A 27,489-nucleotide genomic window follows, 5' to 3' on the forward strand; every position below is an offset into this window, starting at 1 on the left:
TTTGCAGTGATTCACGAAAAGTTTGTCTTGGGAACTCCCAACTCCTAGTTTGTCTGCATTCCACCTTCTTTCACTAGCTTGTTCATTTCTTTTTCCCTCTTAAATATTTGTTAAGCTTGTTTCTTTCTTCCCACAGTCACCGACTTAGTCCAGTTCCCTGTGATCTCAAAACAATTGTTGCAGCAGGCTCCTGGCAGTCTCAAGCAGTTCATCTTCTTGGTGTACTGGTATGTGACAATTCCTTCACGTATTGTTCGTGGTTCTTTTCCACTTTCTGTGAATTCATATCTAATTGCCCCCAGAAAGTCAATTCTAATTAAATCTAGCATAATCATTTTCTTAGTGCTATTGGAACCATCTTATTTAACTTAATCTTTGTGGTTGAGAATTCAAGAAAACTCTTCAAGAAAGAATCCAATAATTTATATTTTTAATGTGTACCGGTTGGTGGGTTAAGCACTATAGTGGGTATGTAACTAATACTCTTGCTTCCAGTTTTCTAGAGTCTATTAAGTGGCACAGAGGTAAACAGAATAGCTTATCTTCTCTGTATGTGTGTACTAGTCTTCTATTGCTGCCTTAACCAATTACACAAATGCAACAATTAAAACAACACAAATGTATTATCTCATAGCTTCTGTAAATGTGAAGTTTGGGTGGGCTTAGCTGAGTACTTGGCTTAGAATTTCACAAAACCGAAACCAAGGTTTCTGTAGATTTGGATTCTTTTCTGGAGGCTCTAGGGGAGAATCCACCTCCAGGCTATTTCAGATTGTTGGTAGAATTCACACTGACATTTCTATATCCTTACTGTTTGTCAGCCTGAGCCTCTTTCAGTTCTTTAAGGCCATCTGCATCTTCAAAGACACCACAAATCCTTCTCAAGCATTAAAGCAGTCTTACTTGTCTGCCACTGGCCAGAGAAAGCTCTTTGCTCTTATGGACTCAAGTGATTAGATTAGTTCCAATTCGATAATATCCCTATTTTAAGGTCAGTTCTGTAGAGAATATCACAATCACAGGAGTAATGATCTCACCATATTCGCAGGTTCTGGGGATTAGCAGGGGTGGAATCTTGGGGGCCATTCATAGTAATTGTGCCTACCACAATATGGTGGTTTCAGGCAGGATTATTTTGTTTTTATAATGTGCTTTCACAGGCATTGAAAACAAATTCTGACTTTATTGAATTGTATGATTAACCACTCTAAGATAAGGAAATTCACTTAAAGTTGGTTGCCCTAGGGGCACATGGCTAGAAAGTGGCAGAGTCTGTACTTGGATCCAGATCTACATTTCCATTAGGTACAAACCCATTTTTATGGATGGTCAAAATGGTGTGCAGCCAAAGTCAATAGATAGAAAGAAGCTAAAGAACTTTGAGTTAATTATTATTTCTCATTTTCAAATTATCTCTTTATATTAGTGGTACAGGCTAAGCTCTTCTCCCTACAATAGAAAGCCCAAAATACAATGGTATGAATAAAATAGAAGTTTTTTTTTTTCCATACATCTAGAGGTAGGAGTCCAGGACTAGTAGGGAGATTCTGCAATCCTGCATATATGACTTCCATAAATGAGGCCATGGTGCTGTTTAGTTCGTCACTACCTAGCAGGTAGTAAAAAGGAGGGAAAGTGCAGGGAGAACACATGCATTCCTTTTTGGGAGCATGACCTGGAAGTGACACACACAAGGTCATCACAAAGCCACACTGAGCTCCAAGAGAGGGTAGGAAAGATAAAACTGGGGGCTGTATGCACAGCTACAACTCAGGATTCTGTTAAAGCAGAGGAAAACAGGTATTAGCTGAAAATAGTCTCTTCTGTGTCCATGTTTTTGATAGTGTTCGATTCTGTAACCTATGAGTGGAATACTTTGTTTAGCGTTGCTATCAGTTTTAAAAAATAGTTTTTGAGAGAATAGGAAGTTCAAATTCAATATTAACGTTCTTTGATTTCTCAGTTGCTATTTTAACATATAATTACATTTAATATATTACATTATTTAATATAATTAATATATGATAATTTACAAAGGCTTTGAGAAACCTCATTTTTTATTTAGCATTTGTATACCTTATTCACATTTTGAGTTAGATTTCTTTGATAGCAATTAATACACGTGTCAATATGTTCAAGATTGCTTTGGAACACTTGAGACCATTCTGTGTAGACCTCATACGACCTGTGCAATTAAAGCAGCTTGTCATATGATTTATGTATTCTATAATAATCTTTAATTCTACAGTTGGACACTTCCACACCTCTTTGTACTTTGTGCTCCAAAGTTTTCTATATCAATGCAATATCAACACATAATCCTTTTCTATACATCAAATACTATCTACCCACTAAGATTTACTGCAGGTTCCCTTACCTTCTATCATGTTGTTTTGTATAGGGGAAAGATTGTAGTCTTAACAGATCTGGGTTTGGGTCCTGTGTTTGACATTAGGTAAGTTACTAAATTTCTGAGTTTTGATATATTCATATGTAAAATTGCAAAGAATGCCACCTTTCAGAGATAACATAAAAGTTAGAGAGCTAACACATGTTTTCTGTAATGCAAACTGGAGTACCTGGCAAATGCTAGGTGTTCAATAAATGGTAACTAATTATACCAGTCCCACTGATCACTCTTTACTTCTAGCACTTTGTGTCTACACATTCTTTTTAAGTTGGTTTTCTCTATCTGACAGATTTATAAATTTCATAAAAGCTGGTACCAAGTCCTAGATATGCTGTGGTCCCTAAATACTGGTTTAGTGAATTGTGAATTGTACCTAGGATACGTAACACTATCTATGAGATTGAAGTTGTGAGGGCTCTCTCTCTTTTCTTTAGGTTTCCTATTGTGATTTTATCATGGAAAATCAATTGGCTAAATCAACTGAAGAACGAACATTTCAGTACCAGGATTCTCTTCCATCACTGCCTGTTCCTTCACTTGAAGAATCATTAAAAAAATACCTTGAATCAGGTATGTTAATAATCTTTTAGTATATATTAATATTATTAGTAACTTAGAAAACTGTGATACTGTTGCTGGAGAAGGGGTCTCGATCCAGACTCTAAGAGAGAGTTAGAGTTCTTGGATCTCTTGCAGGAAGGAATTCAAGGTGAGTTGCAGAGTGCAGTGAGAAGAGACAGTTTATTGAAAGCTTCTCCATTATAGAGTAGGACATCCTCAGAAAGCAAGCAGACTGTCTTTAAGTTTTTCTTACATAGGGGTCTTATCGATGTAAAGACTAAGCTGTGCCTATGTGAGGGTGAGCAGACAGCATGACAAAATTTATTATTCTGTTGATTTAAAGAAAACAATCCTTGACATTTTAGTGCATGAATACATCAAAGAATTATGTTAATCATCTCAAAAACATATATTGTTATGGGTATTGAGACATCTGGACTTTCTACTGTTGTAGGAGTGTGTCATTGTAAGTATCTTTAGGTTGTTTCCTCAACTGTAAATATCTTATGACTGGGTCATGACTGGCAAGGAACGTGCCTTGCTAGTCTCAAGATGGAGCTGAATTTAAAATGGTGTTACTCTGGCTCTCCTGAGCTCCTGCTTCCCCAACATTTCCCCCTCTACTTATGAGAGAACCCTTAACCTTAAGGGGAGATAAAGGGTGAAGGTTGTTCTTTTGTAACTCCTTCCTGGAGGCAGTAGATGTTGATGGTTGGGACAGGGTCTTCTCATAATAGTGTGCAGTGAGCCTCTTCAGGGAGTAAGGGAGCTCCTTGCTTGCATGATATCCCAATTGTTTCTAGAAAGTTAATATACTAGGTTAGTAAATAGAAAGGTGAAACAGCTGCTAAACTATTTTATCTTGCAACCCTATACAATAAACACAACAGAAATAAAAGCACAATAACTAATAACAATGAATATTATAATACCAAGCATACTGAAAAGAAATGCTTTCCAAGTGCTGGAAAGCTCATGAAACTATGCTGTTATGGGGTCATAAGACCGGGAATCCATAGCCAAAATACAAGTTTCTAGAGAACTCATGTCCTGGGATATATTATGGCAGTAATCAGGAACATAATATTCAGTTTTGTTCAAGACACAAGTTCCTCCCTTGGCTGCAGTTAAAGAATGTATAAAGCCATATGGTTTTGCAAGCCCACTGGTCTTATTTGGGAAGTTTCTCCTGTCAGAAGTGTGATAGCCTGATGAGTGTCATTGAAAGCCGCACCAGTATGTTTTGCTAGAGCTTTTATTTGTAATTCAATGTCTATAGCTGCTGCTTGAAGAGAGAATATGGCCATAGGATAAAACCACCAAGAAGCCTGTTTTGTCATCAACTATGGTGGGCCTTGACTATTTTTCAGTTGGTGAGGAAGGAATTTAGATGTATAACAATATGTCGTAGAAGGTAATGTTGACCCCTAGTACATTGTCCAGTCCAGTTGTAAGGTAGGTATAGCCAATTGTGAGACCCATGTGCCCATAACCATCCCCAAGGAGAAGGATGAGCATGCAATCTTAGAGATTTATTTTGCCATTCTGTCCACTTTGATTAGTTAAGACCAGGGTCTGATTGCATTGTTGGGTGGCAACCACCCCATGTTGTAGGTTTCAGCCTGGAAGTGGCTGGTGTCATGTCTCTCAAGGCATAAGAGTACTTTACCTGTCACCTGAATTTGGGTAGCCATTAATCAACTAAGCCCATCAAAAATGGTATAGCCTAAAGTGGTGATGTTATTTAGTTATCTACAGAATAATTGAAAAAGGTGTTTTTTTTGTTTGTTTCAGTAGAGGAAGGGAAGGATAGTGGCTGGTGTCTTTTTGATATATTAGAAAAGGAAATATTGGCTAGGTGTGGTAGCTCACACCTGTAATCCCAGCACTTTGGGAGACTGAGGCAGGTTGATCACGGGATCAGGAGATCGAGACCATCCTGGCTAACACGGTGAAACCCCGTCTCTACTAAAAATGCAAAAAAATTAGCCAGGCGTGGTGGCGGGCCCTTGTAGTCCCAGCTACTCAGGAGCCTGAGACAGGAGAATGGCGTGAACCCGGGAGGCAGAGCTTGCAGTGAGCCACGATTGTGCCATTGCATTCCAGCCTGGACAACAGAGCGAGACTCCATCTCAAAAAAAAAAAAAAAAAAAAAAAAGAAAAGGAAAGGAAAGCATTTATCTCTTATAAACCATTCATTGGAATTGGAATGGCTTAAATTAGCCTATTTGATATGCCAAGGTAAGCCTGAGGTTGATGAAAGAGGTAATTCACTGCGTACCCAACAGTTTTTCTGGTTTAGAAGGGAGGCCGTAGTTTGTGCCCATTCTGTAAACAAATTAGCTCTAATATTATAATAGATCAAGTTTAATATTAAAACTAGTAATTTCATTTTGAGAGTAGTACTTATCCACTGGATGGATTCTTTTTTTGAAGAGAAGCCACAGGATTCTTTATTGGCTCACAAGAGTGTGCTGGAACAGTGGTCACCACGTTGAATGCCTGTGGGACTTTATGAGAGGCAGGTTTAATTTTGGATGAATGTACCCAAGTGTGTATTCCCTTACTCCACTAGAGGTACTTAGAAGCACTTGATAGGGTCCTCTCCACTTTGGAGAAAGTTGTCTATAGGAGGTCCTTCTTTCCAAGTCTTTAATATGACTAAGTCACCTGGTTGAACAGCAGAGTTATGAATATTTATGGAGGTGGTTCTGACACATGAATATTGAACAAACGTGCATGTAACATATGACTGTTTACCCTGCAATAGAGACTTAACCCTTGCCTTACGTGATCTTAGATTCTATTTATAATTTGGTATTTTATTGCCATAAAGAGTCTGTTTTGTCAATCTTATGATTTCTATTTTAATGCTAAGCTAGTCAGTTGTGACTGAATTCCAAGAAGAGGAAAGATATGGCAAGTCATGTCCAATCTCCCTGCTTCCCCTCATGGCCTGAATTAGTTTTCAGGTGTTTTGGATGCCCTTTGGCCAAGAAGAGGGTCCATTTTGTTGGGAAAGGGCTTAGAACTTTTAAAAACTTATTTATTTTAGTTTATAGTTCCCCTTTTTTTTGTTAAGGTATGCCATCAATGGCCAAGCTCTTATTTTGTCCAGTATTGATGTCAGGGTGGTGTGCTACCTGCCCTGGATCCATCATGTCCCTTGGTGGGACCACTATGGCCAAGGGACTTAAACAAAAGACTTATGGCCAATTAAACTTTCTAGGCCAGATGGGAATGGAGGTGGGCAGGCACTCCTTAACCTTAAAACCCCTTTTAAGCAACATAAGAGCCAAAAGCCAAATGGGACGGTTATAAAATTTGCTTATTTATAAATTCTATACATTAAGCTATTTTAATCTTGACTTGTAGCAATTAGCCATATAAAATACAACATTTTGTTCAGCTATAGAGGCAGTTTGCCTGACCTTGATTTGGAGGGTCTGAATTGATTTTATTCCCCACAACAAGCCCTTACAATCTCATGTGGTAGTCTCTGGGCCTGGAAGGACTAAATAGTTTCAAATTATAGAGGAAAACAAAACATAAGGAATTAATGTTTTAAACAAAAATGTCATAAGCCCTACCTAGTTATGAGAATGACATGAAAAGAAGCCCATACGTAGCCAAATACTTAAATTATTTAATATCAAGGCATAGAAAATTATATTCAGATATAGGCAAAATTATTAAATGAATCTTAATGTTTTGAATACAGGCCTGTCCCTATGTCTCTGTCTGTAGGTCTCATGAAAATAGTTTACTTTGATTGTCCAGGTCTAAAGACAAGGCTTTGATTAGCTTCAGCTTGCTATCAGATACTGGCAGGAGTCAGTGCCTTCTTTAGATGAGCTATATGTACTCAGGAGTCAAAGCCCTGTAACTGTAAGGCACAAGGATTAGTTAATAGCACTTGATAAGGACCCTTTTAAGGAACTAGAGGGAGTCCTTTAACGGATTTTTTTTCTTTTATTTTTCTTTTTTTTTTGAAACATGGTCTCGTTCCGTTGCCCAGGCTGGAGTGCATTGGTGCAATCTCAGCTCACTGCAACCTCTGCTCCCTGGGTTTAAGCAATTCTCCCAACTTAGCATCCTGAGTAGCTGGGATTACAGTCATGCACCACCATGCCCAGCTAACTTTTTGTAGTTTTAGTAGAGATGGGGTTTTGTCAAGTTGGCCAGGCTAGTCTCAAACTCCTGACCTCAAGTGATCCGCCTGCCTCCAGTTCCCAACATGCTGGGATTACAGGTGTGAGCCACTACGCCTGGCCCTTTAACTGATTCTTTTCTAGTATATATAATTATCAGGGTGGAGGTGGTATGTGTTAGGCCATTTTTGCATTGATATAAAGAAATACCTGAGGCTGGGTAATTTATTTTCAAAAAAGAAGTTTAATTGGCTCACAGTTCTGCAGGCTATACAGGAAGCATAGTGCTGGTATCGGCTTCTGGAAAGTCCTCAGGAACCTTACAATCATGGCAGAAGGTGAAGCAGGAGCAGGCACTTCACATGGTGACAACAAGAGCAAGAAAGAGAGAGTGACAGTGAGGAAGAGGTGCCACACACTTTTAAACAACCAGATCTGGTGTGAATCAGAGTGAGGGCTCACTTGTCACCAAGGGGACAGCCCAAGCCATTCTTGAGGGCTCTGCTCCCATGATCCAGCCACCTCCCACCAGGCCCCACCTCCAACACTGGGCGTTACATTTCAACATGAGATTTGGAGGGGACATCCAAACTATATTATGGTGATAATGGAGTTCATGGTGTGACTAAAAGCTGTAAAAAGATTCTACAGTCTTGTAGTGATTAATTTTTATAACTTTAATAAATCCCAGCAATAAGACTAAGTCAGAGACTTAATTTAGGATTTTGATTTTGAGGCTGTTTATTAAACATGTTAAAAGGCTGAAAACATTTGATCAAAACAGAAGCAGAGGTCATTGTAAAATAATAGTTACTCATTTAGCCAAAGTGATAATGAAAATGCTTTAGAAGCAATACAGAAGGTTACATGATGTAAAAACCTTAAGCCTTTTAAATCTTAGTTTTGGCAACCAAAAAAACCTAATAAAGACAGCATAGGAATTATACAATCTTGTTTCTTAAGACAGTTACCAAAAAGGCAAAGAAAAATTCTGCAGTGTGACTACTTCTGCTTATGGGAAGCCCATTTAGATAACCTGGACATCAAACCTGATGAAAAAAGTGCTTGGATTTAACTGGACCTAGGAAGAGTATATTCAAGGTTATGATTATAGCATAGGATTACCTCACTCTTAGGAACAGCATTAGTTTTTTGATTACATTGACAATTTAGATGTATTTTAAAAGCCAAAAGTACAGAATCAAGTTATACTAGAGGTAAACATTGCTTTTCTAGACCTTCAAGATAAAATATTTTAGCATTAGCTCATAACAACAGTAAAATTAGAACTGGAGAAAAAAAAAGTTGATGAGAAAGCTGAAGGAAAGAATTATCTCAGACCTCAAAAAAGCAAAAAGCAGTGAGACACAGTAAAAGCTGAACTTCTGGGATATGATTCTGAGACTTTTTAAAAGAAACAGTTTATAAAAGTAAAAGTAAAATTTCTTGTAATTTTATTAAGAGCAGATTAATACCATAAAAAAATCTTGTTTTAACATCGGGGACCAAAATTTAGAAAGACTTATTTATAAATGATTTTCTTTTCACTGTAACCAATTTAATCACATACAAAATTCCTTTCATGAATTCCCCTTCACAAATCTTATCATGACTTACACAAACCGTCTATGACATGCTTGGACTTTCTGACTTGTTCTAAACTTCTCTCTTTCCTAAATAATCAGTCATTTTACTTTAGGACAAAAATTTACCATACAAGATACTTTTTCATACAAAAGTATTCCCTTCTGTATAACCTTTCTTACCAAAAATATGTATTTTTTTTTTTTTTGAGATAGGGCCTCGCTCTCTTGCCCAGGCTAGAGTGCAGTGGCAAATTCACGGCTCATTGCAGCCTTGACAGCCCAGGCTCAAGTGATCCTCCCACCTCAGCCTCCCAAGTAGCTGGGATTATAGACATGTACCACCACACCAGGCTAATTTTTGTATTTTTTGTAGAAATGGAGCTTTGCCATGTTGCCCAGGCTGGTCTTGAACTCCTGCCCTGAAGCAATCCACCTGCCTTGGCCTCCCAACGTGCTGGTGTTACAGACATGAGCCACTGGGCCCGGCCAAAAGTACATTTTTATATTCATAACTTTCTTCACATCTCTCTCTCCCTACTTGTTCCTTTTTACCTTCTTTCATAGGTAAATTTTAAATAAGCTCTAAATTATATAAAATTATTATTATTTTTCAACTTGGAGAATGTTCACTTCCCTCAATTGAGAGATGCTGAATTAAATAACCCAAAGAATGAAAATCATCAAGACCAGAAAAAAATGACAGGTGTAAACTTCAGGGCATGCAAGCACAGGGCGACATGTGTCACTAGCGAGACACAGACAGCAAATAACAGCCGATTAAGAAACAGTAGGTACTGACAAATACAACTCTGAGACTCAAATAGGTTATCCAACTCTGGGTGGGGCCTCTAACCTCAACCTGGGGAATATGAGTATTCCTGTGTCTCCTGGGGCCTAGAAGGCTGAGTATATTGCAAAGTATATTGCAGAAAGGAAAAGGGACAACAAAGGGAATGGAAGAGACAACAAAGAGCACTCACCTATACATGAATCCAAAAACTTAGGAAGCAAGAAACCTAGAACTATTTGTCAGATGTTAGCATTTTATAGATAAAATCATTCCACAATTTTATTTTATTTTATTTTTCTGAGATGAGATCTCACTGTTACCCAGGCTGGAGTGCAGTGGTGTAGTCACAGGTCACTGCAGCCTTGACCTCCCCAGCTCAGGTGATCCTCCAACCTCAGCCTCCTGAGTAGCTGAGACTGCAGGCAGGTGCCACCATGCCCTGCTAATTTTTGTATCTTTTGTAGAGATGGGGTTTCACCATGTTGCCCAGGCTGCCAACATTTTAGAAACATGTTTCCCATATTATAAACATTTCTTAATTGGAAATGACTCAGATATCCAGTGAGTCATGCCAGGAAAGCCATAGACCAAAATTTTGGGTAAAGTAGTCTTCATGAAAGTTTGAGGGTTTTTTATTTTTGTTTTTGTTTGTTTGTTTTGCCTTTTCACATTTTGTTTTTCAGTTTCAAATGAGTTTCTAACATGTACATTTCTTTTACAGTTCTGGTTGAACTGTACAAGAAAAACAAAATCTCTAAGTAACCTAAACATCAAGTTTTATTTCAATACTAGTAGACTAATAATAACAGATTCAAATCAGGCAGAAAAGAAGAGAAAAATAGAGAGCTTTAGAAGACTCTGTTTAATTTCATAGTTGCAGGGCAAAAGTAACCACCAGAATGATAACAGGCTGAAGCTTCAGATAAGAGAATGAGACTCCAGGTTTCCACAGGGGGCAAGCAGATAAAGATTGCTGCCTGTTTTAACATGGGGTGTAAAAGCATCTGAGTCCTGCAATGTTTAAGATATAGCAAGAACAGGCTGGGCACAGTGGCTCACGTCTGTAATCCCAGTACTTTGGGAGGCCAAAGTGGGCAGATCACCTGAGGTCAGGATTCAAGACCAGCTTGGCCAAGATGGTGAAACCTTGTCTCTACTAAAAATACAAAAATTAGCTGGGCGTGGTGGTGGGCACCTGTAATTCTAGCTACTTGGGAGGCTGAGGCAGGAGAATCGCCTGAACCTGGGAGGCGGAGGTTGCTGTGAGCCAAGATTGCACCATTGCACTCCAGCCTGGGTGATAGAGCGAGACTCTGTCTCAAAATATATATATCAAGAACAAATCTTGTAAGTCCTCAGGTTCCCCATGCTATCCTGAGACATGACAAAGCAAACGAAAAGGTGACAGTCAGAAGGCAAGTGTGGAAAGTGAATGCAGTAAACCTCTGGGCTGGCCATAGGGGCCACTGTAAAGCTGCAGTAAAGCAAAGGCAACAAGTTGGGAAGTGATGAGAAGTATAGCTTTCCCATATCTGGCAAAGGGGACAAAGTGGATTAGTCCAAAGCATATACTGGCGTACATCTTGCAAGGCTACTTTAATTTTTATTATACCCCAGGGACTCTCACCCCATTGGGCTGGGACTCTAACCCAAATATTATACCCTAGAGACTCTAACCCCATTGGGCTAGAAATATTATCCTTGATAGGATGCCAAGACAGACCCCATTTATCAGAGGTGGCCAATTAGTGCTGTGCAGGCTGAATCTCCTCAGCATGGGATCTCATCCTAATGTCCCTTTGTAGTCACCAGAACATGCTACCAGATAAGGGGTCTTGATCCAGATGCTAAGAGAGGGTTCTTGGATCTCACGCGGGAAGGAATTCAAGGTGAGTTGCAGAGTGCAGTGAGAAGAGACAGCTTATTGAAAGCTACTCCATTGCGGAGTAGAGCGTCCTCAGAGGGCAAGCAAAGGAAGGCACCATCCTTATTTTAAGTTTTTCTTATATAGAGCCTTTATCTATGTAAAGACTAAACTAAGCTACGTCTACATGTGGGTGAGCAGACAACATGACACAATTTATTATTCTATTGATTTAAATAAAACTATCCTTGACATTTTAGTGTGTAAATACATCCAAACATAACTGTAATTATCTTGAAAACATATATTGTTATGGGTATTGGGATACCTGGACTTTCTGCTGTTTAGGAGTGTGTCCTTGTAGGTATCTGTAGGCTGTTCACTCAACTGTAAATATCTTCTTAATGTGGGTCATGACCAGCAAGGAATTGTGCCTTGTTAGTCTCCAGATGGAGCTGAAATTAAAACGGCATTACTCTGGCTCTCCTAAGCTCCTGCTTCCTTAACAACACTGTTAGAAGTTGAAGGTTTAATTGCTTCTTTATCTAGACTTGTAATAAAGTATAGGTGACTCTTGAACAATGCAGGGCTGGTGGTGCTGACCCATGTGTATTAGAAAATCCAAGTACAGGCCGTGCGCAGTGCCTCACGCCTGTAATCCTAGCACTTTGGGAGGCGGAGGCAGGTAGATCACGAGGTCAGGAGATCGAGACCATCCTGGCTAACACAGTGAAACCCCGTCTCTACTAAAAATACAAAAAAAAAAAAGAGCCAGGAGTGGTGGCGGGCGCCTGTATTCCCAGCTACTCGGGAGGCTGAGGCAGGAGAATGGTGTGAACCCAGGAGGCGGAGCTTGCAGTGAGCTGAGATTACGCCACTGCACTCCAGCCTGGGCGACAGAGCGAGACTCCATCTCAAAAAAAAAAAAAAAAAAAGAAAAGAAATTCAAGTACAACTTTATAACGTAAACAGTTGATTAACAGATAATTTTATGTTATATGTATTATTTTCTGAATTATTTAAGTTAGAGTAAAGCAAATGTTATTAAAAAATGATAAGGAAGAGAAAAATATATTTATTATCCATTAAGTGGAAGTAGATCATCATAAAAATCTTCATCCTGATGGTTTTCATGTTGAGTAGGTGGAGGAAGAGGAGGGACTGGTCTTGCTGTCTCAGAGGTGGTAGAGGAGGTGGAAGTAGGGACAGGAGAGGCAAGCACACTCATTATCAACTTTTATTAGGTATAAATGGACCTGTGCAGTTCAAACTCGTGTTGTTCGAGTCAACCATGTCCTTAAAATATCCAACTTTTTTTCTCTCTTTATGTTAATTTTTCCAGAGTTTGAAAAGCCAGATAGTGTAAATAGGCTTGTGATGAAAAATGCAGTCCTTTGCCCATCTCCCTGGCTCCCTCCCGACTTGCTAATCCCATTCTCTCAAGCAAGGATTTCCAAATCTTTTGTTTCTTTTCCGCCACTTTCATGTTGTCAACTCTTAATTTTATTGTTCTGCTCTGCTATTTAATACAGTACTGTGTTTTACATATCTGAGTCTTAAGATTTGCATAAGTTAGTAATAATAGAGGTGAGTTGGTGGTACTTGGTCTAAATACCTTAATACGTATTTTTCCTTTCTAGTGAAACCATTTGCAAATCAAGAAGAATATAAGAAAACTGAAGAAATAGTTCAAAAATTTCAAAGTGGGATTGGAGAAAAATTGCACCAGAAATTGCTTGAAAGAGCAAAAGGAAAAAGAAATTGGGTATTTGTTGTTATAATTGAATAATGATGATGTTTAAAGAATGATAAATAAAAAGTGCATAGTTTTTATTTTTAAATTATTGCTGTAAAAATTTTTACAGTTATTATTGTTATTTTCATAATCCAAAAGAAGGAATGAATCACTTAACTTTGGGAGTTTTCAGTGGGTGGATTCGGGAACTTGTTAAAATGCAGATTTGCTGGGATAAGTGATTCTGATTCACATGGCTGGAATGAGGCCCAGAGATTCTTATTTTAACAATCACTTCATGTGGTTTGGCTGCAGGTAATCTGTAGACCATGCTGAAGGAAAACATTTTGTCCAGGTGACTAGCTTGAAAAATCAGAAACACTAAAATAGACATGTCACATAGGTGGCATAGAAATATTTTCGTAGTACAATGGAGAAAGGGAATCATTAAAAATCAGAGTGGAGAATGGTTATGTATATTGTATATTTCAGTTAGATAAATTGAGGAAGCTAGTATAATAATTATTGAAGGTCTCAATAATTTTCCACAAAATTCTTTAACTTCTTCAGCTCAACCATTTCTGTACTTCTCTACTATGAATCAGAGGATGAGGTTGTATAATTCAAAAGCATTGCCTTAGTCTAGAAATAATTATTGTACCTATCATTTAGTTTTAGAAATAAAAAGCAAGCTGATTTTTTTTGATGAACCATTTATATCTGTGATGGAATAATAAAATTTCACACTTCCGGATTCCTTTGTTCTCAATTTTGAGCCTTGAGTTGTTTTAATTAAAGAGGGGTAAAGGTAAAGAAGTTGTTGTTTTATCTGTATCTTTTTTGTTTATGTCTCTTTCTGAATTACTAATTATAGTTTATAACATCACTTTCTTCAAACAAGACTCCAGGTAATTTGATAAGATGTGCTTACTTATGCATGGAATTCAATTGCATATTGTGAAAGAGGGACACATAGAAAACAGTGTCTGTGAAAAATCTAAATTACTTTGAAGCCTACTGAAAACTTTTATTTATTTGTTTTATTTATTTATTTTTTGGAGACAGAGTCTTGCTCTGTTGCCCAGGCTTAAGTGCAGTGGTGCAGTCTCGGCTCACTGCAACCTCTGCCTCCTGGGTTCAAGCTATTCTCATGCCTCAGTCTCCCATGCACCTGGAATTGCAGGTGCGCACCACCACACCCAACTGATTTTTGTATTTTTTGTAGAGATAGGGTTTTGCCATGTTGGCCAGGCTGGTCTCAAATTCCTGGCCTCAAGTGATCTGCCTGCCTCCGCCTCCCAAAGTGCTGGGATTACAGGTGTGAGCCACTATGCCCAGCCAGTTTTTATATTTCTGATTTAGTATTGCAGTTTTTGTTTGGAAAAGGAAAATTGTTAATGCCTTAATAACTGTTATTATTAGGTAAGGATTTATTGATTATCTATTATGCCCCAAGTACTCTGAAGAAACACCTATGTACTTTATTGCATACTTGTGACTACAATACAATGATATTTCTGAAGGTATCTTTTGGTGCTTTCTTGATACTCGTTTTTGATAGTGTAGTTAAAACAAATAATACCTAAGATCCTATAGCTCCCCGCTGAAAAGAAATTATCACAATAACATTTCTCAATATCTATGATGATTTAAAACAAGAAAACATGTTTTTATTTATTTATTTTTGAGACAGGGTCTTTCTCTGTCACCAAGGCTGGAGTGCAGTGGTGCAATCATAGCTCACTGCAGCCTTGAACTCCTGGGCTCAGGTGGTCCTCCTGCCTCAGCCTCTTGAGTAGCTAAGACTACATGCAGGCCCAGCTAATTAATTTTTTTTTTTTTTGTAGAGACAGGGTCTTTCTATGTTGCCCAGGCTGGCCTCTAGGTCCTGGACTCAAGTGATCCTCCCACCTTGGCCTCCCAAAGTGCTGGGATTATAGGTGTGAGTCACCTCACCCAGCCAAAAAACATGTTTTTAAATGTTGAAGAATAATTAAAGAACAAATATAGCTTGCTTTTTAAAATTCCCAGTAGTTACACATTCATGTATTATGAAGAACATTAAGCTGATGTTCTCAATTTCTTTTAGCTGGAAGAGTGGTGGCTGAATGTTGCCTATCTGGATGTTCGTATACCATCACAATTGAATGTCAACTTTGCGGGTCCTGCAGCTCATTTTGAACACTACTGGCCTCCAAAGGAAGGGACTCAATTAGAAAGAGGAAGTATAACTCTTTGGCATAACTTGAACTACTGGCAGCTATTAAGAAAGTAAGGACACATGTGAATTTAGTGACAGGCTTACCTGAAGTCTCAGGTAGCAAAATGTTGAGAAGCTTAATTTACTTATTTGGGGATGAACACTTCAGTTGTGGCTGGTTTTTAAATTTTATAATGACTTTTTGATCAAAATCCTTTTTTTAATAGAGAAAAAGTGCCTGTTCATAAAGTTGGAAATACTCCTCTAGATATGAATCAATTCCGAATGCTATTTTCTACCTGCAAGGTTCCAGGAATTACTAGAGACTCCATTATGAATTATTTTAGGACTGGTAAGTAAAAATGCAGATATCGTTTTTAGTAAAGGCACTGGAATTTGGGTAGCCTACTATGACGTGATGGAACATACACTTTTGAAGAATATTACTGTTGGGACTTTGACAAAGAAAGGTTTTCTGTGAGCCTTATATTTGAATCATTCTGATTAGATGTAATTTATGGGAACGGATTTTCTAAATGTATCTTACATGGTTCAACACAAACCTGATGCTTATATTTCATCATTTGAAAGTTTAAAGTTTACTTGAAGAGTAGAATCAGAGTATTAAGAAAATCCTGAAACATGAAACATATGATCTGGATGCTTCTCTTTCTACCCTCATTTTTTATTACCTGAATTGTCTTTTTGAGTGTTTACTTATATGTGCTTATCATGCCACAGTCTCCCTGTGAGTCTGCTTGTCCCTCCACCTTATATGAGGTAAAAGCCTGGAGTCACTCTTCCTTTTTTTTTTTTTTTTTTTGTTTGAGACAGGGTCTCACTCTGTTGCCCAGGTTGCGACCTCAGCTCACTGCAACCTCCACCTCCTGGGCACAAGTGGTCTTCCTGCCTCAGCCTCCTGAGTGGCTGGGACTATAGGCAGGCACTGCCATACCTGGCTAATTGTGTATTTTTTGTAGAGATGGAGTTTCACCATGATGCCCAGGCTAGTCTCAAACTCCTGGGCTCAAGCAGTCTGTCCGCCTCAGCCTCCAGAAGTGCTGAGATTACAGGCATGGGCCACCATGCCCGGCTTGGAGTCACTCTTCTTAGAGACACATGAGTTCAGATTGACTCATCAATTTTTTTTTTTAAACTGGCAGTTTAATGGCAGTTTCTGCTTGGTGTCCTAGCTTATCTTGAAATGGAAAATTCTGCTGTGGTAACTGTTTTTTTCACAGTTTACACTTACTGAAGAGTATAATTGTGAATGGATTTTTTTCTTACATAAAATGTTATTTAAAAGTAAAATATTTATAGCCAATCATGCTCATAGTATGAGGGGTATGAGCTTACTTTCATGTAGAACTCAACTCTTCTTTGTAAACTTCTTTACATGCTTGAGATATTTAATGTCCTCAAGCCCACATATATTTACCTTGATGTTACCAGTGAAACAATTAAAAGATTAGGGAAACTGAGTTATTCATGGTCTAAAGTTTAATGTGCAAATATGAATGGAAAAAATGAACAAGATAAAATTAATGTAAGAAGAGCAATAGCAAAAAGAGAAAATATGCATATCAGTTAAGAACTAATATCAATAGACCTGCTTTTGAATTGTCTTTATCGCTTAGTAGGTATATCCTTAGATAAGGTAACTCTTTTGGGTTATAGTTTGTAAAATGGGGATTCATTAATAATGCATCTCTTGATATGGTGATTGAAGCTGACATAGTTATTATATTTTGGGGCTTACATGTGAAGACATGTAGAGATAGGGATAAAGTGTGAGGTAGACATGAAAAAATCAGAATTCATGGCAAATAATATACAGAGAGTTCAAATAAGATTAGTAACTACATGGCAATTTTATATTAGATAGTCAGGGAAGGCCTCTCCAAGGATCTGAATGATAAGATGAACCTGCAGAGTTTTTTGGCTTTCTTTTGTTTAGTTCACTTTTGTTGTTGTTGTTACTTTTTGTGTGTGTTGAGGGCAGAATGCTCTGGGCAGGAATAAACTTGGCAGGTTCAAAGGGCAGTATGGATGGAGCAGAGTACACAGGAGGGAGCTGGATGGCCAGATTGGAAAGGTGACTAGAAGGTAGATCATATAGTACTTTATAAAACAAGGTAAGGTTTTTGGCTTGCGTTTAAAATGTGAACAGAAACTATTAGTGAGTTTTGATAAAAAGAATGATGTGACCAGATTTATGCTTTAAAAAAGATCATTCTACCTACTGTTTGAAGAATAGACTTTTAGAGGTGAGACAAGTTTATAAGCAGGGAGGTCAATTAGAAAGTTGTTCTTGTATTCCAAGTAAGTCATGATAATGGCTTGTACTAGGATTATGGCATTGGAGTGGTGAGAAGTTATACTCTGGATGTATTTTGGATTTTGGGTTAGCAGGAATATTCATATATTGGTTGTAAGATATAAGAGAAAAATAGGAATCAGATTACTTCAACATATTTGGCTTGAGCAGCTAACAGGGTAGGTGGGTACGTAGGTAGATTCATGAGGTGGGAAATATTGGGAGGAGATGATTTAGGGAGGAGAAGCAAGTGGTCTTTAAACCGTCTTGAATTTAAGATGCCTTTTAGACATCTAAGTGGAAATGTACATAGGCAGTTGGATTCAAGATTTGTAGTTTTGGGAATAGCTCAGGACTGCAAATTACAGACTTAGGAGTCATCACTACCAGGCATAGAAAGCAACTGTAAATCCATAACAGTAGCCAAGGTTACTTTTGGGACATATGTAAAGATGATCAGTGCTGATCCTTATCACAGGTTCAATACTGTATTTTCCAATCAGAGGAGGAGGAGCCAGCAAAGGAGACCAAGGGAAGTAGGAAGAAAACAAGGACAGTGGTCTCCCAGAGGCCAAGAGAAGGAAGTGTTTAATGCTTCTGAGAAGTCAAATGAGGTAAAAATGTGACCATTGGATATGTAAACATGATGTGGACAGAGGTTGCCCTTGACAAGAGCAGTTTTAATGAAAGTTGAAGAGGGAACCCCAGCTGGAAGAGATGAAAGCAGATTGATGAAGTGGTGGTAACATTTGGAAATAATGCTTGCAAGAAAAGTTTTGATGTGCACTGGGAGATCAAAAATAATTTTTTAAAGATTGTGATATTACATCATAGGCATTGTTACAGGAGAGGAGGAAAAATAATCTTGCAGGGGAGAAGATAAGGAGCCAAAGTCATTGAGAAGGTAAAAGCCAAGAGGATCAAGAGCAGAAAGGTGGAGGGGTTGGTCTTTGACAGGATCAAAGAAGAGAGGCAATTAGGAGGGAATGCAGAAAGTGTGAATCTAGAAGCAAACAGATTGGCCAGTTTTGTTGTAGGAAGATGAGGAGGTACTTTTTATTGCTTATGTTTTTAGTGAAATAAGAACTGAGGTCATCCACTGGGGTGGATGATTTGAGGAGAAAGGAGGTTTGAAATAGTCTTTTTGGAAAGTGGAAAAAACAAACATGCTGTGGAAATAATGGAGTTACTGAACACTGCTGAGTGCCCATTTGAGATGTGTGTTCATGCATTTAAAATTAGACGAGATGACATGCTGTGTTTTTTTCTTCAGCATCAGTGAGGGGCAGGAGGGGCAGGTGCAAAGGAAGAGGGGCTGAAGGATTAAAGTTTTTGTAAGGGAGAAATAATTTGGGGCCATTGAATCTATCATGTGTAAAGTGAAAATTGGGCCAGGCCTGGTGGCTCATGCCTGTAATCCCAGCACTTTGGGAGGCCTAGGTGGGCAGATCACCTGAGGTCAGGAATTTGAGACCAGCCTGGCCAACATGGTGAAACCCCATCTCTACTAAAAATACAAAAATTTAGCTGGGCACAGTGGCTCGCGCCTGTAATCCCAGCTACGCGGGAAGCTGAGGCAGGAGAATCACTTGAGCTCATGAGTGGGAGGTTGCAGTGAGCCGAGATCATGCCACTGCACTCCGGCCTGGGCGGCAGAGTGAGACTCCATCTCAAAAAAAAAAAAAGAGAGGGAGAGAAAATTGAAAAAATGATGTGTGTTGATGGGATGGGCAGAATTTAAGCCACTGAGGTTAGTCTCAATAAGGAGGCTATAATTAAAACTAGTTTTTTGTTTTTTGTTTGTCTTTTTTTTTTTTTTTTGGTCTGTCACCTAGGGTGGAATGCTGTGGTGTGATCACAGCTCACTGCAACCTCGACCTCCTGGGCTCTAACAGTCCTCCCACTTCAGCCTCCTGAGTAGCTGGGACCAGGCACATGCCACCACACCTGGCTAATTTTTGTATTTTTTGTAGAGACCGAGTTTTGCCATGTTGCCCAGGCTGGTCTCGAACTCCTGAGCTCAAGCAATCTGCCCGCCTCAGCCCCCAAAGTGTTGGGATTACACGTGTGAGCCACAGCACCTGGCCTGTTGTTTATTTATTTGTTTTTACCTACCCCCTAGGAGACCATTAAGACTAATTCAGTCATACCTTTCATCCCTGTTTACCACATTTACACAAAAAGCCCAGACTGTTCATGTTATCCCTTGTCAGCTGGATTCACGGATTTGTGCATGGTCTAATTTGATCCAAATTTCCCATTGCTCTGATCTACCCTCACGACTTCCCCAAACCCTTCTGCTGTACTTTCTGGAGCTCACGATCAGCAAAATCCATTATATCCTCAACCTTTTCTCTAAAAGATGTTACTAAAGCTTGATTATTCATTAAGCTTACTACTTCCCCTGTACCCTCGCAAGGGGGAATTTTTTTTTTCTTTTATATAGCACTACAGGGCCTGTGGGAGGTGTTGGTATCCTTTTTGTTTCCCTCTGCCCTTTCTGTTTTCCCTTCGTCCTTAACAATTTTAGCCTTTTTGGGGAAAAAAAAATGCCTTCAGGTTATATCACCACTACATTGTTGCAGTGACTTTCCTCCTGCCCATTCCCCTTCATCTATTGATTGCTTTAGCTCCAGTGCCTGTCTTTCTTTCCATTACTACCTCAGTCATATTCTTGATGATTTTAGCTTTCAATTGTAGACGATCCATAGGCTCTCATTTCCTTCAGTTTATAGCTCTAGGAAACTACATCTTTCAGTACTCCAACTCAGCTGTTCCTTTGGCCACATTGTGATTTACAGTTTAATGATGCTACTGCTCTCTTCATGGCTCCATTCCTACTTCCCCGTCTTCACTTCTTTCTGGTTCTTCACCATCATTACTCCCAGGCATACACATTCAAATCTTTGCTACCTCTCCCCAGTACTGATGTGGTAAAACCTAAACATCGTTTAAAATTTAATTTGTCTTTTCTCTACATATCAAAGATACCTACTCTAGCAATTTACTTGGCCAGAGAAAACCATAAAACTTACTTAATGATCTCAGTTAAATCTCAAGTTGGCCCCCAGCACTACGGTGCTATCTTCCTTGGTTAGCTTATTCTTTCACTTCCAGAGAAGACTGTTTTATGCCTTTCGCTCTCCTTCTTGTTAGCTAACAAACTCTTGTTTTTCACAACAGATATGAGCAATCTTCCCATCATGACATTTACCAGCCTTTCAGTGATGGGCAGAATAATGGTCCCCCATAGATGTCTACTTTCTAATCCCTGAAATTGTTAATATGTTAGGTTACATGGTAAAGAGGAATTAAGGTTGCTAGTCAGTTGACCTTGAAATGGGGACGTTATCCTAGATTATTCACATGTGCCCAAAGTATATAATCACAAGGGTCCTTATTCATGGAAGAGGGAGGCAAAGGAGAGAACCAAAGAGATGGAAGTATGAGAAGGTTATGATCTTCCCTTGATGGCTTTGAAGATGGAAGAAGGGGTTCATGAGCCCAAGGAATGTGGATAGCCTCTAAAAGCTGGAAAAAGGAAGGAAACCAATTTTCTTCTAGAGCCTCTAGAAGGAACACAGCCCTGATGGCACCTTCATTTTAGCCCAGTAAGACACATTTCAGATTTCTGGTCCTTAGACCTGTAAGATAATAAATTTGTGTTGTTTTAAGCTACCAAGTCAGTAGTAATTTGTTTTTGCAACCAGTGAAAATATACTGATTCAAATATTTGCCCATTCTCTACCCCCTTGCAATATGTTACTGCAAATTCATATACTTTTCTTTTCTTTTTAAAATACAGATGAACTCCTCTGACTCCTAAGGACAACTCTTCTATATCTGTGCTGAGTCCCGCTTCCTCTTGCTTAGTCAAGAAACTTGCTTTTGCATTATCCTCTCTCTCTGCTGCTTATCAGTTTTTTTCTTTACTTGATTGTTCCAGTCTGTAATATCTTCCATCTTAAAAGGAAAACAATTCACCTCATGTCTCCTTCAAGTATCAGGCCCCAGTCGAAGCCATCATCCTATCTCTCTTAGATTGTTCTCACCTGGACAACTTTAGTCACCTCCTAACTTGGCATACCTTCTCTTCACCCTTGTAATCTGTTCTCCATGTAACAGCTGGAGGGATCTTTTTAGTGAGACCACATTATCACTCCCTTGCTTAAAACCATCCATTGGTTTCCTTCCCATCATACTGGAAACCACTTTCTGAGGCCAGTATAATCGGGTCTCAACCTTATCTACCACTCTATCCTTTTCTCTGTGCCGCAGCTGCACTGACCTTGTTTTCCTTTAAGCAGATCAACTCATGTTTATTCTAATGCCTTTGTGCTTGCTGTTTCCTCTGCCTGAAACACTTCTGCGGGTATTTACATGGCGTACTTTCTCACTCCATTCAGTTTTCTGCTCAAATATCCGCCAGGTTTATTGTGAGGTAGCACCCTTCTGCCACCCTCACCCTTTCCAACCATTTATTGATTAATTTGGCATCAGGTTTATTTTCTTTTTTCTTTTCCAGCCCTAAACTTTGAAAGGGGTGTGGTCAGGAGATGACAGCAATAAAAGAGTGGTGGTCGTAGAGGTAAAAGGATCTGGAGGTTTTTGAAGGGGAAGAAAGAAGAAATGGTTTGGAGGTAGCCATGAGGAACAAGGAAAACACATATCTCATCCCCTAGGTCTTGAGGAAATAAGGTATAAGAGAAAAAAGAGTATTTTTATCAGGAGACTGTTCTTCCTCATAGTTGATGAAAAGATTTCATAAGATAATGTATGTAAAGCACTTAATACTGACCCGTAAATAATACCCACCACTATATTTCCTTCAAGCGGCAGTGTATGTCTTCTCTTTCTTCCTCTTTTTCCATTTTCTTTTCTTAGAAGGTAGGGGCAGGGATCACATAAGAAGATCCTTGGCAAAAGGACAAGTACCTAAAGATGGGGTTATATCAGAATAGTCTGAGGTTTACAGCAAACAAACAGTTCTTGGGGAGTTAAGGTGTGCCAAAGAAATCAGAGATAATCCATTGTCAGTGGCTTACCAGGTGTTACCAGACTGGACAAAATTCTTTTCCTTTGCCACTGGCATACTGTATCCTTTTCTACTGAAAATTATTTTATTGAGTTATCATAGCTAGATATTACTGCAATTAAATTATCTGATGAGTAATTAACATTAAAATAATCCAAAAGAGAAACCTGTTAATTCAAATGGCTGTCCTCCAAGATTCCACTGGTCTCCTTCTCCCCTTCCCATTTCTGTTCCTAAGTAAAATTAGAAAGGTCTGTAGTAGTTTGGGATTTATGTGGTTTTCAGGGTATTTGAAACTCATTGATTTCTAGATGTCTCACATGGAACAAGTGTCAGGAGTATGTATTTATATCATAGTAACTGCAATTCCATTAATACATTATTTTTGTTATGTGATATATTTGATGACTATATGATAAATAAAATACTGGAAGAATGCCTACTTTTCTTCTATTGGATATATGCATCTTTACTCCTGTTTAACCTTAGATTTGAGTCTTGTGTTTTCTGTTTCTGTTTCCAGAGAGTGAAGGGCGTTCCCCAAACCACATTGTAGTGCTGTGTCGAGGCCGAGCTTTTGTCTTTGATGTAATACATGAAGGATGTTTGGTCACCCCGCCAGAGCTTCTCAGGTTTTCAGACTACTTTCTTGAGTTTCATTAGGTCTTATGGTGTTGCTTGAATTAAAATATACATGTTTAGAATTGCCTTTCAAGGTGATAGTAAGCTGAAAAATAAGAATTTTATGCATGCTTTTTTAAAAAAAAATCTATTTGTATTTTTTATTTAAATTATTTTTAAATTTTACTAGACATATATAAATATGTTCACTTGGAGAAAAGGAAAACATTACATATATTACCAATTCCATTCCCTGCCCCAGAATTAATCACTCTTACTAGTTTAGTGTGTTCCATTGTTCCATACCTGTTGCAATGAATTTACATGTATACCTAGCTTAAAAAATATATATAATATATAATATGTATTATATATGTATATACATATATATGGTATACATCTTCTATGTATATGTTTTAAAGTATATTACAGAAAATTTCAAAATGTATAGGGGATTATATAATGATAACTCCCGTGTACCCATCTCCTAACTTCAACAGTTACCAACTCCTAGCATCAACAGTTATAAACTCATAGTCAATGCTGTTTCAACTATACCTCTTTTACCTTTTCCCTCACTTTCCCATGGATTATTTTGAAGATAATCTGACATAATATCCTTTCACTATAGATATTTCAGTATACATCTCTAAAATAGAAGGACTCTTAAAATACACATTTAGTACCATTATCATACCTAATGACTTCTAAAAAATAATTTTTTTTTTGAGACAGAGTCTTGCTTTGTGTCCAGGCTGGAGTGCAGAGGCACAATCTCGGCTCACTGCACCCTCCACATTCCAGGTTCAAGTGATTCTTCTGCCTCAGCCTCCCAAGTAGCTAGGATTATAGGTGCGCACCACCATGGCCAGCTAATTATTGTATTTTTAGTAGGGATGAGGTTTTGCCGTGTTGGCCAAGCTGGTCTTGAACTCCTGGCCTTAAATAATCCGCCTGCCTTGGCCTCCCAAAGTGCTGGGATTACAGGCATGAGCCACCACACCCAGCCAAATAAACAGTGTTTTAATATCATTAACAGAGAATCAGTTGTTCTAATTGTTTTCTAATTGTTGGGTATATATATCTATTTATAACTTAAATTAGTTTTATTAAATATTGCAAACATGTACAAAACTGCACACAGAAATGTACAACTAAATATTCATGTAACCTGCACCCAGGTCAAAAATTAGAACATTTCTAATACTCCAAAGATTCCCGTCATCCCTCTTCCAGACTTTCACTCCTTCCCAGGGGCAGTCATTTAGGTTGTTTACAGTTTGCATTATTATTTGAAAAAGGCTGCTGTGAAAATCCTTGTGTAAGTCTTTTGGTGTACACATGCATGTATTTCTGTCTGGAGCACACCCAGGAGAGAATTTGCTGAGTCATAGGATATGTGTATGTTCAGCTTCAATAGATAATGCCAGTTTTCCAAAGTAGTTATGTCTACTAGTGTGTGAATGTTGTAGGAGTTCCTTACATTCTGGGTAAGAGTTCTTACTTGGTTGTGTGTGTTGCAATACACAGAGTAGAAGATGTTTATAATTGATCTTTTGTTCTATTAAACACATCTTCCTGATGAACAGAAGTTCTTAATTGAATGAACTCCAGTTTATTAATCTTTTAATCTTTACCATACAGATTATACATTTTGTGTTCTGTTTTAAAAAATTTTTCCCTAACTCAGTGCCAAGAAGATAATTTCCTATGTTCTAGAATTTTGTGTTGACTTTTACGTTTGTATTTATAGTCTTCCTAGAGTTAATTGATTTTTTTGTTTGACATGAGGCATGGGGTAGTTGCACATTTAAAAAATAGTGTTATTTTTATAGTTAGCTTCTTTTAATCAACAATAAATGTAATCTTTCCATATTGGTACAAATACATCTACCTTATTCTTTTAAACTATTACATAGAATTCCATCAAATGGATATATTATAGTTGATGTGACCATTTCTTTATGATATGACATTAAAGTTGTTTCCATTTGTTGCTATAACAAATAATTAACATTTTCAAACATGCCCCTTTTTGTATTTGGATAAAATATCTATGGTTTGATATTAGAAGTGAAATGTTCACATCATCTGATGTATACATTTAAAATTTTTGACTGAGTCAAATTGTCATCCACAGTGGCATTGTTTTTTCTGCCAGTATTATGTGAGGACACCCACTTCTCCTAATCATTGTTGACATGGTACTATTAAACTTAAAACATATCTGGTGAGTGGGGGACACAGTGGCTCATGCCTGTAATTGCAACATTTTGGGAGGCTGAGGCTGGAGGATCACTTAAGGCCAAGAGTTGAAGACCAGCCTGGGCAACATAGGGGGACCCTGTCTCTATAAAAAGTTAAAAAATTAGCTGGACATGATAGTGCTACTTGGGAGTGCTCCCAGCTACTTGGAAGGCTGGGGTGGGAGGATCACTTGAGCCCAGGAGGTCGAGGCTGCAGTGAGCTGTGATTACGCCACTGCACTCCAGCCTGGGTGACAGAGCAAGACGCTGTCTCAAAAAAAAAAAAACAAAAAAAAAAAAACAAAAAAAAGCTATATCTAGTCAACTGACAGGTGAAAAATGGTTTTCATTGTTGTTCGAATTGGCATATCCCTCATTACAAGTGAGGTTGAGCATTTTTATATGGTTTATATGCCATTTATTTGTGTTTTCTGTGAGTTACTTTTGCCTATTTTTCTGTTGGCTATTTTACTTTATCCTTATTGATTTATAGCAATTATTTATATAGTCTCTACATTAATCTTTTATACATTATGTGTGTTGCAAACATTTTCTTCCAGTTAACTTGAAACAAATTTTGGAAATTGTCCAATCTTAATTTTGATTTAGGCAAATTTATCTTTTTAATCATTTGCTTTTGTATCTTGGATAATATTTGTGTGTCTTCCCATTACATGTTTTAGTTAGTGTGTTTTAAATTTGACATATAATTATTAGATCAGGCTTATTAATTGGATTATTCAAAGCCACTCTTCCAGAAATTAAACACATGTGCTTCATGGGCTGCATTCAGCCTGTGACCTATTTTGCTTGGATAGCAGAATTTGAATCACTATTTAAAAATCAGGAAAATTTACATAAACATCTGGATTTCTGTTTTTGCCTTAAAAAAACCCAAAAGTTCTGACAACTACCAATCTACTTTCTGCCTCTATAAATGTGCCTATTTTATACATTTTATTAATATAGGAATGGCATCTTACAACATGTAGCCTTTTGTGTGTAGCTTCTTTCACTTAGCATAATGTTTTCAAGGTTCATCCGTGTTTTAGCATGTATGAATACTTTATTCCTTTTTATTGCTGAATAACATTCTATTTTACAGATATGCCACATTTTATTAACTATTCATCAGTTGATGGACATTTGAGTTGTTTCTACTTTTTGTCTATTATGAATAATAGACAAATAGTAAATTATTCATAATGCTGCCGTGACTATTGTATACAGGTTTTCATGTAAACATATGTTTTCATTTCTCTTGGGTATATTTTAGGGGTAGAATTGCCAGGTCATATGGTAATTCTATGTTTAACTATTGAGAAACTACCAGAGAGTTTTCCAAAATGGCGCAGTATATTAGGGTTCCAGTTTCTCCACATCTTCACCAACACTTATTGTCTGCCTTTTTTATTGTAGCGATGCTAGTAAGGGTAAAGTGGGATCTCGTTGTAGTTTATATTTGATAATGATGTTAAAGATTTTTTCACATGCATTTTGGCCATTTGTATATATCTTCCTTGGAGAGATGTCTAATCAGATACTTGGCCAATTTTTAAATTAGTTTGTTTTTTTATTATTGAATTGTAATCGTTCTTTAGATATAAGTCTTTTTACAGATATATAATTTGCAAATTATATCTCCTAGGCTTGGCTTTTCACTTTCTTGATGGCCTCTTTTGATGCACAATATTTTTCGTTTTGACAAAATCCAATTTTATCTCTTTTTTTGTTGTTACATGTGCTTTTGGAATTGTATCTAAGAAACCATTGCCTAATCTGAGGACATGAAGATTTACACATATATTATCTTTTAAGATCTTTTTAAAAAAAATTGTGGGAAGGGGGAGATAATGTTTAAATATACATTTAGTTGGAAATGTTGGCAGGAATCGAAGTAGAGATATCCAACAAGCTTTTGGAACTTTGGTAACAGAGATTGAGAGAAAAAATGGTGTTGAAGTTAGAGAGTT

The 27,489-nt window shown here is 37.9% G+C and overlaps 2 protein-coding genes across 5 annotated transcripts in view; one reads left to right on the plus strand and one right to left on the minus strand.

Moving 5' to 3' along the window:
- The window catches only part of CROT (carnitine O-octanoyltransferase), a 54,131-nt gene that overhangs the window by 540 nt on the left and 26,102 nt on the right, over window positions 1-27,489 (plus strand). For 2 of the 4 annotated variants that reach the window (NM_021151.4, XM_011516337.4), the window contains exons 2-7: window positions 137-227; window positions 2,845-2,980; window positions 13,003-13,127; window positions 15,187-15,368; window positions 15,525-15,649; window positions 23,173-23,281. In NM_021151.4, coding sequence (NP_066974.2) covers window positions 2,866-2,980; window positions 13,003-13,127; window positions 15,187-15,368; window positions 15,525-15,649; window positions 23,173-23,281 — 656 coding nt within the window. In that variant the 5' untranslated portion in view covers window positions 137-227; window positions 2,845-2,865. Of the gene's footprint in view, window positions 1-136; window positions 228-2,844; window positions 2,981-11,303; window positions 11,388-13,002; window positions 13,852-15,186; window positions 15,369-15,524; window positions 15,650-23,172; window positions 23,282-27,489 lie in introns of those variants that run through there. The other 2 variants (NM_001143935.2, NM_001243745.3) reach the window with 2 other exon arrangements.
- ABCB4 (ATP binding cassette subfamily B member 4) overlaps window positions 19,693-27,489 on the minus strand; it is a 110,132-nt gene continuing 102,335 nt past the window's right edge. Inside the window, exon 29 of the transcript XR_007060054.1 lies at window positions 19,693-22,549. The gene's annotated coding sequence lies outside the window, so the exon portion shown is untranslated. The remainder of the gene's footprint in view (window positions 22,550-27,489) is intronic.

The sequence above is a fragment of the Homo sapiens genome, chromosome 7, assembly GCF_000001405.40.
Source record: "Homo sapiens chromosome 7, GRCh38.p14 Primary Assembly".
NCBI lineage: Eukaryota > Metazoa > Chordata > Mammalia > Primates > Hominidae > Homo > Homo sapiens.